The 16119-nt window shown below is 35.9% G+C and overlaps 1 annotated feature.

Annotated features, from left to right (window-relative positions):
• Positions 10351-11550: an enhancer, noted in NCBI's record as "MED14-independent group 3 enhancer chr2:164627636-164628835 (GRCh37/hg19 assembly coordinates)". NCBI's record gives its function as "activates an origin of replication core promoter dependent on BRD2, BRD4, P300/CBP and CDK7 cofactors, and independent of MED14, by STARR-seq in HCT116 cells {active_cell/tissue: HCT116}" and the evidence as "EXISTENCE:reporter gene assay evidence [ECO:0000049][PMID:35650434]".

Consider the following 16119-nt stretch of genomic DNA (forward strand, 5'->3'; position numbering starts at 1 on the left):
TCAATTTTGATGAATAGCACTCATATAATCTTATTAGACAGCATAACCTAAGAACGAGGTAGGAAATATTACTTCACAAACTTCAGTGCTATTCTATGTTCTAAGTCTGTTCTCCTTTCCATTGACTTATTAGATATATTTATGACCTAATTACATACATACATTCTATTTCTTATTCTCAACATATTTATAACTATGAAAGGAAATATAAATTTGGAGTTTATCCTGTTTGTTTAATTGGCTTAAAAGTAATCATAATCTTTTGGGAATCTTAGTTTTCCTAGAAAATAGAAACAGATCCTAGCTATCGATTTTAATACCTTGGAATTATTCTTAGCTGAGAAAGGTAACAACCACAGATTATTTTATTCTCTATTTCTTAGACGCATAAGGCTTACCTTCCTATTTTAAGAAATTTGTTCATGTCAAAAACTAAATTCAAAGGGAGACATTCTGACATTTGAAAACTCCCTCTAATTCCTAAATTAAATCCTTGGTTTTCATTCTACTTCAGAGCCAGTTTTGAATTGAGTCTGCAATGGCAGAGAAAATAAAGTGTGAAAAAGACATGGAAAAACAAGAGGGCACACCCCGAAAGTTGTTTATCTTCCTCCTCCTTCCCCTGAATTTCTTCCCAGTGAATTGGGTACGTCCCTTCCACATATTGTTGGCATAAGTTTTGATCCATCCAAAATTCTCTTCTTATTTTTGGTGCCTTTGAGTTTTCCTCGATGTGGATAAATTTAATTCACTTTTCTATGTACCCCAAAGACCACCATTACCCTGATTTGCATTATTGACTTTCCTTATAAATCCTACAGGCTAAACACACACACAAAAAGAAGAGGAATTATTTTAGTCTTGTCACTTCTATCTGGCCCTTCTTCCTTTAAACTAGCTGGAACAATGCATAATATAATATGCATAATAATCAGCATATAATTGCTAAAAAAGTGATCTTTTATCCAAATTTCAGCCACATTTTGAGGTATTGTTTTAGACTCATTGGATTACCAATATCTAGACAAGCACATCCAGGCTGAGCAAATGCAAAGTCAAAAATAAATACAAACCACCATTCACTGAGAGTATTCAGAGTGCCAGGCATTCTGCCTGTTTTTTTTTTTACACGCATTACCTCATTTACTCCTCATGATTACTACATGAGAGAAGTATTGGTATTCACCCAGTTGACAGACTAGGAAACTGAGACTCACAGAGTAGCCAGCCTAGGGTGGGTAGAGAGCTTGAGATTTACCCCAATTCTGTCTGACACAAAGTGTGTGCTCTAAACCGCAGAGCTTCAACATGTGTAAATCACGTTAATTTCTAAATAGTGAAAAGGGATGATATATATTAACAGCAAGAAACATTTTTTTTTTCTTCCAAAGGAAAATGAGGGTAAAAAACTGCAATGTTAAAGGGATAGGGAACTGTATATTTCTGCCAGGCAATCCCTCTCCTGTGAATTTAGATCCAATCCACTATCAATATTTTCTGGCAATATTTCTTTCCTTTTACCGCTACATCATTCATAATGTTCAGTGTTTCCAGAACTACAACATGCCAATCCTTACCATGCTTTCTCAGCACTATCTGTATTTTAAATTACTGGAACTGTTGCAGCCAATCACATTAGAAGACAGGACACTGTTATGAATTCCAGGCAAAATGTGAAGGGGGTAAAAACCCCGAGCACTCCACATAACCATTTCCCAGATGTTTGTTAGACTTGTGTATTTTCTCTAACTCACATGCAAACAGAGAGACCCTGAAAAAATCTGCCTTTTTCTTTTTGTATTGACTAAGTTCTAGTAAAAAAATGTTTTCTTGACAAAAAAATACTATTGAGTGGTTGCAGTTCAATCTCTAATATATTTATTTGTAGCTTCTCTGAAATGTGTACCCTTTTGTGTAGGAATTTTGACTTGATTGCTTTTTTTAAGCAACATGGCTCTGTACTGCTTCTTAGACCCAGAGACTTTAAAAATACCCTAAAATGAAGCAAGAGAAAAACTTCAAGGAAAGCATTTGGCATTAAAAAGTAAAATGGGAGTAGGAAATATTCTCCTTTAGAAGAGCTTAGATTTATTTAGGATTCCTAATGCAACTTCCTATAGATGGATATTCCTTTAAAAGGATTCAAATTCCTTTCTGAGTATTAATTTCCTCATTTATAAGTTGTGATAATATTCCTTCCATGCTTATGTTATGAGCTACTGATGGCAAATGGCTGAGAAAATCACTTTAAAGTTAGAAAATTCTAAATATACTATAACAATGTAAAATAAATTATATAAATAGGTATAAGAGATTCTCCATATGCAAGTGAGGTATTGCTGCTGCAATTGGCCTTTTGGACATTCTGGGTTTTGGACAGAGAATCCACAAACAAAATTTTAAAAAAGGGAGAGGTGGAGGGGTTGCCAAGGAACACACTGAACATATATGCAATCATTCAATGTTTTTGACAATGAGATAAGTGTTATATCGGGGAGACTGTTTAACTACCATAATTTTTGACGTCAGAATAGTCAAATATTTTCCTGAATCTTTAATAGGGTCTAGCACAGTGTCTGGAATATCAAAAGTGTTCAATAAATATCTACTAATTTGACAAATTCTCTCTCTTTTAGTGATTATCTTTTTTGAGAAAGGGAATGAAACATGCTTTCTGGAGCCTACAGTTAGTAAGCTGCCAACACAGAGCCACATGTTTAGAGTCAGACAGGCTTGGGCTTGATTGAGCTGTGTGACTGGGGTTAAGGGACAAAATGTCTTTGATACTCACTTTCCTCACCGGTAAAATGGGAAGAAGTGATAACTATATTACAGTGTTTTTATATTAATTAAATTGGATAAAGCACTTAAACTGTTTAGTGCAGTTGAGGCACATAACAATTGCCCACTAAAATGTAGCTACTATGATTCCTGGTAGTTGTAGTTTTCTTAGGGGTATTTCCTCAGCAGTTTAACATATTGAGATTACTCTTTTAACAAAACAGATGTTTTACTATATGAAATCTGTAGCTACATGTTTATATTATTTATGTGTCATATTAATTGAAAATGTTTATTGGATCCATTCTCATTTTCACCCAAATTATTTGGCTGTCAAATAAATAGATATTTTATATCTGTCTATCTATCCATCTATCTCTCTGTCTACTTTTTTCTCTTTCTTCATTCTTTCTCTCTTTCCTTTCCTTCTACCTTCCATTCTCCTTTCTTCCTTTTTCTTCCTTTCTCTCCTGTCCACAAATAGAAGAAAGTGTCCCTTGAGAATTAACATTATTAAATGTTCTATTATTATAATGTTCTTGTTTGGCCACTGCCTGAAAATATTGAGTGCTCTCACTAAATAAGCTGTTGGACAATTTTCAAAGTAATTATTGTAGAGTCTAGACTTTCCTATTTCCTCCCACCCCCCACATCCCTGTAACCATCTATATTTTTCCCAGTACATTTGTGGCACAACAGGTGGCTATTATTTTTTACTTTACTGCGTCTCTACTGGTAAAGATTTCATTGCTGCTGTGACAACAGTTGGAGGGGGTCATCACCTTATGAACTATCACCTGGATATCTGCTTAGTCTCAGGTAACAACCTGGGAGTAAGGTAATGAACAACTTCGTTATCCTTTTTTCTCCCCAAACGTGAGAAGAAAAGAGAATAAAATGTATTGTATTCTTTTCATTTCCTAGGGCTGCTGTAACACAGTATCACAAACTGGGTGGCTTAAAACAACTGTAATTCATTGTCTCACAGTTCTGGAGGCCATAAGTCCCAAATCAATGTCAACGGGGCGGTACTACAACTTGGAGGGGAGAATCCAGCCCTGCTCTTGGTAGCTTCTGGTGATCATGGCAATTTTTGGTGTTCCTCGACTTGTAAATGCATCATTCCATCTCTGTCTCTGTTGCCACATGGCTGTCTTCTTCCTGTGTGTGTCTTCTGCTCTTTATAAGAACAACATTACATTGGATTAAAGGTCCACCCTACTCCAGTATGACCTCATCTTAACTACATCTGCCAAGTTCTTATTTACAAATAAAGTCACATTCTGAGGTATTGGGGGTTAGGACTGCAGCATATTTATGGGAGGATGCAATTCAACCCATAATGTGTATATGAGAATGTTTGTTCCAAATAGAATAATTTTTCTTGTAATTCTAGCCAAAGTCAGAATCAATCTGACAGAGTTGTTATGTACAGGTAAGGAAGAGGGAATTACAGAATCACTCAGCCAACAGACATTTTTTGAGCACTTAATGTGTGCTACTATGTAGAATGTTCTTTAAGTATCAGATAATCTATCTTCACAGAGTTCACAATTGAATTAAAGGATTTAGGATATTTTATATCTATCTATCTATCTATCTATCATCTATCTATCTATCTATCTATCTATCTATCTATCTATCTATCTATCTATCTACAAGTAGAGAAACATTTTCTCACCTCAAAACAGAATCAACAACCCAGAAGTAAACAAAAATATCTTTGGTCAGCCCAAAGTGAAGTTTCATAATCTACATACTAAATACATGTAGTTGCCTTGTAGAAAAGTAGTTCAATACTAGTCTACTGACTCCTACGTAACACAAATTCTAACAGTTGCAGTCATTTGATTTTCAGTCTACCACAGATTATGCAGGCATACTGAGAGCAGTGAGAATGACAACTGAAAACCTGACAACAAAAAAAGGGAGGTGAAGGAAAAAATAAGAAGAGAAATAAAAACTTGTTGCTTTCTTGGATGACTGAGTAGAGATAATCCTGTCTGCTTCATCACATTCTGTGAACTTGATGCATTAGAGGACAGCATCTAATCATTGATATTCAATGTAATTGTCCCAAGGTATTAAGAAATATTTGATTCTGATCGATATATTCTATTCATTAAAGCAGACAGACTTACAACACATTTTAGGTTTTGCTCCAAAATTAGTTAAAAACATTAAAGGATAAAACACAAACTATTTACAAAACTCAATAATCTGCAATGATACATGAACATTTTGGTTAGACGTATAAATGAGTAGCATATACATGTTTAGGATTCCAATGCAGAGGAGGGGGATAAAACTCTGGGTTGGAACAGTCATAGATAAAGTAAAAACACTAATATCCAACCTTGCTTCTCCTTAGCACTTAGAAACAAAACTGACTGTGACTATGCTTCATAATTATGTAAATCTAGTGAAATACGCTCCAGCACCCTTCCCATCCCCAGTTGTCCACATGGCAAGCCCAGTTATAGCTGATTCTGTGGACTTAAGAGCCTAGAATGGATCGAGAGCTGACCAGGCAGTTCAACTTTCCTCTTGGTCACATTGCAGAATTTCTAAGAGAGGCATTATAAACACAGATGCCTTCAGGCATCTAACAAGTAATATAAATGAGTCAGCTATGCCAGGTATAAGGTATTATTTGGAGACAATTTGGGACAGAATATGCTCCCTAAAAGCATTATCATTCATATTTTCTTTATCATCTGCTCTTATTGAATCATCTAGTGTGAAACTGAATTCAAATCTAGAGCTCCAGTTCGTAGCCTTGGTTTCTAGCATCAACCCATCCAGCTCCAGACCCAAAAGGGGTTTGGCTTTTTCTGACTTTTGCCTGCTATCATTCTCTTTGATCTATCTTCACCCAGTGGGCTAGGTGTTCTGGAAGTGAGAAGTGAAAGAATATCCACTTGTACAATGCTTTGCAAAAGATGCTTTTAGGAACATTAATCCTGTGAGATATACCGGAAAAATAGAACATGGCGATCAAATAATTTTGGGAAACAATACATTCTATACACCTCTCAAATGTTCACAATACACTCACAATCCACATTCACGTATTACAGGTAGAGAAGTCCTTCAGTAAAGAAAATGGTTTAACTCAATATATTGTTTGATTCAATATTCATCACACTTAGTTGGTTACTAGACTCTCCACTTGCTTTAAAATTACATCACAAAGAACTTATGTTTCATGGAACGTGCTCTGGGAAATGCTAAGTTAGAGACATTACCTCTTATGGAACCCTATGCTAAACTATACAAGTAAGAAAGGTAGAATTAACTCTTAAACATGCAAAGAGTTTACATAACTTTTTATGTGTTGAAAGTGTACTACTTGGTTGCTCTTGAGTTCCCATACAGCAAGAGAATGTCCACCAACAACGTCCCACTTTGTCCCTTCAATAAATGCTGGGGGAAAAGCTTTGTTCCCTTTCTCTATCCAATTATTCACTCCTTCTCCAGAAGGAAGAGTAACTTTTCTGATTTGGCCGTATCTTAGTTAAGTTGGGTCAGCTTACACTGATGCCCACATCTGGAAACAGGCTATACTGTCTTTCTCTCTTTTGGAACACTTGCTGTAACAAACAGAGTATCTCTGTCCTTTTCCTTCTTCCATGTTGGATATTTAGTAGGGCAGGGCTTGATTTTGGCAGAAGGGAAATTCTACCTCTTCTCTAGTTCAGCTTTATTAGGCAGCTCCCTATATTAAGCAATACAGCCGACCTGCACCTTGCCCCATGTGATTGAATTCTTCGTGTGCATTCTTGATCGGCCACTGCTTAGAAGTAAAGAGAGGCCAGTGGTAGGATTCAGGCAGCAACTGCACTTACAGCCTTTAAAATGGTGCACAAAAAAACAGTCAACTCTGCTAACGCATTGCCCAGGAGCATCAGACAACCATGTGAGCATCAGAGCCTCTGTGTGTACTGTTGACCATTCTGGACAAAGAGAGAGGAGAGACACAGAAAATGACATTTATCAAGGAGACCACCTTATTTCTTTAGTCTTTTTTTTTTTTTTTGAAAAATATGACCTTCAAAAATCAGTTTATAAAAGGTCCTTTGCATCTCAGACTATAATTTTTTGAGGAAATGATGTAACAGGTTGCTGTTTCTAATCTTGAGAATATTTGGTTTGGGATATATTTCAAATGTTGATGTTAGTCTGATATGAAAATGCCTGTTAGTGCTCAAAATCCAGGACAAAGGTTATTTCCACCAAGCTCAATAGAAAGTAATAAATAATTCTGAAATATTGTTTTAAAATAGGAATATGAAATATTATAACTCGTCAAGCCTTCAAGTCTATGTTGGCTTATTATTGCCAACCCAGCAGGTGAAACAAAGGCTCGTGCCTGTGGCTGAGCATCCAGCTGTCTGGATAGGTCCACTCCTACTCACCAAGCCTTGTTCTCAAGAGCTTCAGCCCATTCTCTCAAAAACTTTTATTCTATGCTGATGCAACTTAATTATACTAATTCTCTCTGCTTCATGATTATGCTAATAAAGAGTCTCTGTCTTGTCCACCGTATTTGCAATATCTAGAACTGTGATAAAAAATGCATTTCTGATAATACAATGAGATTATATGGAAGCACTACTAAAGCTAATCTAGCTATGAGGCAAGGCCATCATTAATCTGAATTCATAGGACACAGGGTGAGGGTTTATTTCTATAAAAATAATCGTGTCTTGGGGTTCAATCTAGAGTGCAAAGAAAATATAGGCTGTTGGCACCTGCCTCACTACTTCGCAAATGATCTTGTAGAAGTGAAATGCAGAACTCTTTATTGTGCACTTTGTAGTGCATTTATTTTTATTTTTTTTTTCCATTGTGAACATTTTATCGTTTGTCCTTGCAGCATTTTTAAATACCATCCCTATATTCTTTCCCTTGGCAAATTGACAAAAGAAAAAAATGTATATTTCAGCTGTAGTATCCTATAGCCACTTCTTGCATTCATAAATAAAACCATTATCTTAAGTTATGTAGTCTAATAGCAACTGCAGCACACGTGGTTGTTACAGCAAATGACATTTATAAATGTAGATTATCTTTTTTCTTTGAGTTTTTATTAAAGCAGCTGACACAAAATCAGAGTAACTGAGTCAGTTTGTTTTGTCAGAAAAAAAGGAAATATAATAAAAGTCTGAGTGTATAATCATTTTTAAAATTCTTTGTTCATAGTGGAAGTTTACTTTTTCCACTTGTCTATCCCCAAGTCTATAATGTCACTTCCAGAGAGAAGCAGGAGTCACGTGTTTTGGAAGGATCAGCACCTTCACTGCATACCTTTATCACCTGCTAAGATGCTTTATTGACTCAAAATGTGATAAGGCAGCAATGTTTTTTAAACCTTCTATTAAAATAAAACATTACATTATAAAAGCGAAGAACAGCATCTTTTGACTGTCTCATTTCAAAAGGTATGTTGCTAAGGATTGTCCCACTTAACCAGTGTGCACCAAGGTTTATGCCCTTTCAGTGCCCTGATACTCCAAGCTCGGGAAGTTTCAGTTTCAATCCTAGCATTGGCAGACAAATTGGGGATCATAAACCCTGGTATACAACAATGGTTTTCTAGATCAGTAGGAGACACCGAAGACAAGAAACAGAGAAAGAGGAGAGGGGTGGATTCACCTTTTTGTAATCCACAGGCCTTTCTGATGCCCTTACAGGATTTTTGAGTGCATTTCTGCCAGTATCAGCAATGGTGAAGTTCACCTTCACTAAAATCTAATTCCAGCACTAACTGGCAGGCCAGCACTAGTGAAAATAACATTCCGGTTTCCTCCATGACCTCAGTCCCGACATGATAACGGGAGCCCTCAACAACTCATTTCTGGCTTGGAATTCTTGATGGTTTATTTAGTTTGACTGACTGTCGGAGATTGCCATTATGAATACAGTTGCTAGGGAAGGCCTGTGGTAGTGCTGTTTGGCTTTTAAAGGGGTCAGGATTTTGTAAGATCTCAAATAACACTTATGGCTTAATGTCTGCAAACAATGCAGCATTTAACATTTACTATGCATGAAGAGGATCATAGTTCATCATTTATTATTCAAAAATTATGTAAAATATTTTTATGATGGAATATGAAGAATGTGTTCCAAATATTCATGTATATAAACAACACATAACAAATTTACCTTAAAACATCAATATGTAATCAAAGAGGTATTTAAAGTTCTGTGACATGGAGCCAAATTTAAACATTTCAAAATTCAGACATTTAATCGCATATTTTTCAAGCAGATTAAACTGAGGTCTGGTTCTCTTCAATAAAGCGAACATTTATTTCTTTATCCCAGGAGAGTTACATTTTTAATGGTAGAAAAAGGCTTGGTGCTTGGTTTGTCAGAATTTAAACATACAAATCTCTCAATTAAAAATTTAATTGCCTGCTCTATCTTCTCATTTTACATGTTCAACAAAATGTTTCGGTTTCTTATAAAACAAGGTGATTATGAACATTGGTTTCCGGAGCCTATTAACAATTTCCACTATAGTCCAAATAAAGATGGTGTGAGCAGCATGGCTAATATGATTTGTTTTCTTCATTGTAATTTGAATCTTGAAACTTTTCTCAACTAGGAGAGTAGATTTCAATAGAATATGAGAGCCAAATAATTTGGGTGAAAATGAGAATGGATCCAATAAAAATTTTCAATTAATATGATACATAAATAATACAAACATGTAGCTACACATTTCATATAGTAAGACATCTGTTTTGTTAAAAGAGTAACCTCAGTGTGTTAAACTACGGCAAATTTGAGAGGGAACCGACAAATGACGATCAAGAGCCTTAAATCCGTTTATAGACTTGATCCATTTGTTTTGGAAATGAATCATTTCCACATATTTTAATTGTGCATGGTAACTAATAGTACATCCTGAAAAAGTGATATATTCTTCATAATATTTAACCTTATTGTAACTCACATTAAATCTTTCTAGGAAGGGGTAACAATCTAGCTTCATATAAAAATTACAAAGATCATGAGTTAATGAAATAAATCTCTCCCCCATCTCTTTTCGTCTGCCTTTTCTCCTTTGCACCTGCTTGTTATCTTCATTTTGTATTGTCCTTATTGCTTACTTCTCTTAGAACTGTATATTTTACCACATTTATGTGCTTAATAAATATGTATTAAATACCAATTACATACAAGCATATTGTTGGATGCTACAAAAAAGTTCTTCTCTTATTAAAATTTTTTACTTTCTCAAAATAGCAAAGAGGTAGATCCAGCACTGGAAATCAGATCTTTGAACTCTATTAGCCCTTAATATGAGGTAATTTTATTTTATAAACAAGATTAAAACTTCCACTTAAATGGAATATTTCATGTTTTGACTTAAGAGTCTTGTTTGCTCTCACATTTATAAGGTTTGAATTATTGGCTGCCATTGACTTTAATTAAACTCATTATGGACTCACATGTCTGGCACTTGTTAGAGAGGGAAAAAAAATTTTAAAGTAAGCCCAGTGACTTAATACAAGCTCTCTCAGCAAACAGCCTTAATAAGCCATGCTGGGCCTCAACTCAGCTAGCAATGTGCTACTTGACCCTGGTCAATGTTTTTTATGCTAAAAGAAATGTGTGTTCATCTTCCTTATTCTTCAGTAAAGGATATACTCTGTTCAAGTGAATGCCTTCGGTGACTTGGTTTGAATGGATGTGCGGGCAAAATAATTTTCTTATTATTTCCTTTGTGTGGGATGGGCTCTTGACTAAGGTAAGGAGTGAGAAACAGTACTAGCTAATTGGGTCCTTGTTATTCCATATCACTATCTAAACATTCAGTTAGGAAAGGAAAATATCAGCCATACAGATGCTCTGATGGCAGTGTGCCACACACCCCATGTCTGGAGTCATACAGATGGCTAACTGAATATTTTGGATTCACATGGGTGTTCTGCGTTGTGTAGACAATGTTACTGGGACACTTAAAAGAAAATACCCCATGTTCAAAATCTTTAATGATCTAAGTTGTGGATCTTAGTTATTTTTTTAATTAAAAAATGTATTTAGGTATTTCTTGATTTGTTATTCTAGGTTCATCACTTCACAAATGGTAAAACAGAGACCTGAACAAAGCGAAAGAATTACCCAAGGGCTCTGACTAGGAAGTGAGAAAAAGTGATCTCAAACTCAGATGACTTGCAAGTAAGGATCTTTTTACCATACCTTACTACGTCTATGAATACTTCAAGCATCAGAATACCTGTTTGCTTAGTGTGACACTGACTAAATACTCCAGGAATTCCCAGCCCTTCCCATTTGCCATGGTGGACCAGAGAGAAGAGAAAGCAACACGCAATTGTATTAGGTTGGTACAAAATTGTGGTTTTTGCCTTTAAAAGTAATGGAAAAAGTTGCTATTACTTTTGCACCAACCAAATACGTCTCTTTATAGTTTTTAAAACTCGTTTACTTGAGGAAATCTCATTCATTTGTTTATTCCTGCATATTTATTCAACAACTTGTTTCTAAGACTTTTTCCACCAGTGTCCTGCTCTTCTATCTCCATTAGATATCCAATCGTGTTCCTTATTCCCTCCCATCTCATTTATCAAATCTCAGATCCCGTAATTCTGGTTTGTTCTACGAAGCATAAATGATGTCTTTAATTTTCTCCAAGCCTAAAGAAAAGAATGAGAAATACGATGAGTTCAGAGCCTGGTGTAGAACTACATGTATAGGATAAGATATTTAATGATCATTAGTTCCATGAGTTTCCTGGCTGCAAACTCTGATTATCCTCTCCTCCCCGCAGAAATCAAAAGGGTAATATGTTTACTTTAGAGATTCAGTGGGGAACATAGGGTCATAAATTTGCATTGAGTCTTATGGTGGTTGGGGGAAAGCAGCAGTTAGGAATGACAGTAATGGAGAATCAATAGTTCTTAAAGCAAAAGAAAAAGAGGGGTGTGTGTGTGTGTGTGTGTGTGTGTGTGTGTGTGTGTTGGGGAGGAAGGGCAAATGAACCTAAAGGTAGGAAAATTATATATGTATTTTGTTGTTGTTGTTGTTTTTGAGATGGAGTTTTCCTCTCGTTGCCCAGGCTGGAGTGCAATGGCATGACCTTGGCTCACTGTGAACTCTGCCTCCCGGGTTCAAGCAATTCTCCTGCCTCAGCCTCCTGACTAGTTGGAATTACAGGCACCTGCCACCAGGTCCAGCTATTTATTTTATTTTATTTTATTTTATTTTATTTTATTTTATTTTATTTTATTTTATTTTATTTTATTTTATTTTTGGTATTTTTAGTAGAGACAGGGTTTCACCATGTTGGCCAGGCTGGACTTGAACTCCTGACCACAGGTGATCCACCCGTCTCGGCCTCCCAAAGTGCTGGGATTACAGGCGTGAGCCACCGTGCCCAGCCAGAAAGCTATACTAGTGGTGACTGAGGACAGAATAATGGCAAAGGAGGTGGTAAGAAGTGTCTTCACCAAAAGATCAGTACACCAGCCTACAGAAGACCCCATAGTATCTTGGAACTAAGAGAAATTCTATTCTTACTGCCTGTGGGAGGCATACATTATCAAAGTCTCAACTTGGAATTTTGAATGCATTTTGCCATAGAATATTGTAAGTTGTTAAACTCGTCAGTGTTATTTACATAATACATCAAGTAAATGATAGATTACTAAAGCATTGATTCTTTGGGAATATGTGTTTTAAATTCTTAGTAGGGAATAACAAATTGGCTTTTGGAACACAAGCTATTCCTAAGTAGGAGAGGGCCTTCCTTAGATTGTAGTGTCATGTCTAATTGTAGTGTGTAGACATCTTGAATCGCTATTCAATTAACACAAACACCATGGTGTAAAAGATCAGCAGGGATTTAATCATTAAGGAAAAGTTGATATTTAACATGGTACTAGACTTCGATCAAAATTGAACTTTGTTTCTTTAGTATGAAAGAGGGTAAACAGAAAGTAACATTTATTAAATGCCTACCGTTTTTAGGCTTTATGCTAAATGCTTACAGCTTAATTATCTTGGCTAATTCTCATAACAGTCAAGAGAAGTGGGCATTATTTTCTCCATTTACAGGTGAGAGAACTGAGTCTCAGTAAGATTTAGAAATTTACCAGGATGGGCAACATGTCAAAACCCCATCTCTATGAAACAAACAAACAAACAAACAAAAACACACACACACACACACACACACACACACAAAATTAGTCAGGCATAGTGCTGTGTGACTGTAGTCTCAGCTACTCGGGAGACTGAGGTGGGAGGATCGCTGGAGACTGACAGGTCGAGGCTGCAGTGAGCCATGATTGCACCACTGCACACTAGCCAGGGAAACAAAGCAAGACCCTGGCTCAAAAAAAAAAAAAAATTCAAAAAATTGCAATGATTGAAGTGAGGATTCATTCCTAAATTTTATTTGTTCGTTTACTTGTTTGAACTCCACTATATAGAGTGATTTAACAACTTGTTTATTATTGCAGCCCCTTCCTTCCTGGGTCTTTCTCTTCACCAACTCTATCACAAAGGAATCAAATTGGCTTTTTCCAGTTTCCCAAAGTCAATGGCCAATTAGATCATCATAAAGTGAACCTGATTTGCTCTTAAGTTTATCAGATTTAACCAAAGATTTAAAACAAAGTTATTAAGAAATGTTTAGATTAGCATAGTATGTTGCAGCCAAAATTCATAAGAAAAGTGAAAAATAAAATATCTAGGTGTTTCAAAATATCTAAATTTTTTGCATTTTGTTTTAATATTTGTTGACATTTGACATAATCTGTACATACTACTCCACTAAGAGCAAAATAAGAAGTATCACATGGGTAAAATTAGACATTTCATTTTATGGAAGGATTTTATAGCTGTCTAATATTCCTCATTTAAATGAGAAAACTTGTCATACTATACACTTCTTGCCATTGTCAGATATCAAATAACTGCCCAAAGCCATACTAGCCACTGTAGTCTGGACTATGATAAATCTATGCAGTTGTAATAAAGTGTAATTAATGTTAAACTTGAATTGAATTTATTTTCATATAATCTATATCAATGATCTTTGGGGGTAAGATGTATAGTATTTGAATACTTACTTTGAGCACTGGGTACTCAATAGGGCAGAGAAAAGGTATTTATTCCACCCTTAAACAGCATTTCTATGCTTGTGCCAGTTGTCATTTTTATCGCACAAAATTTTAGTATTAGGAATGAGATGTAACTTTTGTCATTATTTTATCTGTCATATGATAAATTTCAAATGTTCTTAACTTCAAACCCTGTTGGAAACTCTCAGTAAACTATAGCAAAAGCCATTTACCTGGGTGTTTTTTAAAGGGAAAAGAAAGAGAAGTTCAACAGCATATTCGACTAAAAAGTTTAATAACACCATGATCTAATAGGAAACCAACAGGTTACACTGGGCCAACGACATATTTGAAAGTACAAGTAAGAAAAATGAGTCAGGCCTAGATAATGTGCAGTAGCAGATCTCTTGGACAACTACACTTGGATTACCATGCTTCAGTGTTCATGACTAAAGCCTTCAGTTCCAAATTGTGTAATCCCACACCATATTTTCCTAGCCCTCTCCATTTTTCTGGACATGGAATATATCATTTCTGACCCTTCCCCAGAGCCCCCTCCAATAACTCCTCCTTTTCATCACAATTAATGTCCACAATTAATGTCCACATCAGAAGTTTTAAGATTTCAAGTTTTAGGTCAGAAAGAAGAATTATTTCAGCTAAAGAATTTTTAAAAAGTTTCTTTCTAGAGAGATGCTCCAGAGGCACCATCTAAAATCAAGCAACTGGAAATGCAATCTTAGATGCATCATTAGAACAAATATAGCTCCTATCATTTTATGGATGAATCAGACTTCCCCCTCTCACTAATCTAATCAAAAAGCATCTTTTTTTGTGTGTGTGGCCTCCCACACATTTGCCATCTAGTGTGAAAATGAGTCAACTGGAGAATGCATTTAGTGTGCTCTTTTGAAGGAAATGTTCTTGCCTACGAGAAGAACTAAGCAACAAGAAAAATAGTCTTTATTCACTCATCATATTTAATATTTTAGGTCCAGTAGGTCCTCTGATATATGTCAATTTCTCTCTTCTTTGACAGCCTTCTTATTTGCAAAGTGTTATGTACTTTGTATTCATTCAGCAACACGTTCATTGTTCATACCTTTCCACCAGAGAATTCTAATATTTATGCAGTGTTTTTCATCATTTCAATTTGTAAAAGTTCCTAGCTGAATTAAGAATATATCAAGTTATGAATCTTTTGAGGCCTAGAAAACAGATAGGAGATGCTGTTTCTCTTTCTGCTATTCTTTGTTTGTCAAATCACTTTAATGTTGACCATGAGGCCTCTGTGACTTTGTTTATCTTTTCCACCTGTACTATCCCCTTTTTGTAACAAAGGAGATAGGATGTGTCACCATATTGTAAGTGTCATTCCTGAAAATAATGACTTATTGGTACATCTGACAATGATGTTACAAGGCTTCATACAGCAGCCAATTCAATTTAAACTAAACTGATTTCTCTAGATGTCACCTCTCCATGTAAGGAACCCAGTTATTTTAGTAGAAAACTTTAATAACAAACAAACAGATACAACAGAGAAGAAAATGGAACGATGAGGTCACAAATATGTATATATTGTTGCTCTCAAATATATTCTTTAGAGATTAATTTGCCTTTTATTTAAAAAGTTTCAAAGTGGGGCCAGTCGCAGTGGCTCATGCTTATATTCCTAACACTTTTGGAGGCCGAGGTGGGTGGATCGCTTGAGCCCAGGAGTTCAAGACCAGCCTGGGCAACATGGCAAAATCCCATCTTTACAAAAATTACAAACGTTAGCTGGGAGTGGTGGCGTGTGCCTATAGTCCCAGCTACTTGGGAGGCTGAGGTGGGAGGATTGCTTGAACCCAGGAGGCAGAGGTTGCAGTGAGGTGTGATCATGCCACTGCACTCCAGCCTGGGTGACAGAGTAAGTACTCTGTCTCAAAAAAAAAAAAGTTTCAAAGGGTGGTAATCTTTGAAATCCTCTGATATTTTATTTTATTTATTTTTTTTTTTTTAAGGTAGAAATGGGGTCTCACATGTTGCCTAGGCTAGAGTGCAGCGGCTCAATCACAGCTCACTGCAGCCTTGACTTACCAGCCTCAAGTGGTCCTCCTGCCTCAGCCTCTTCAGTAGCTAGGACTACAGACATGCCACCATGACTAGCTAATTAAAACAATTTTTTTTTTTTTTGGTAGAGATAGGGCCTCACCATGTTGCCCAGGTTGGTCTCAAATTCCTGTGCTCAAGCAAT

Source organism: Homo sapiens, chromosome 2, assembly GCF_000001405.40.
Source record: "Homo sapiens chromosome 2, GRCh38.p14 Primary Assembly".
NCBI lineage: Eukaryota > Metazoa > Chordata > Mammalia > Primates > Hominidae > Homo > Homo sapiens.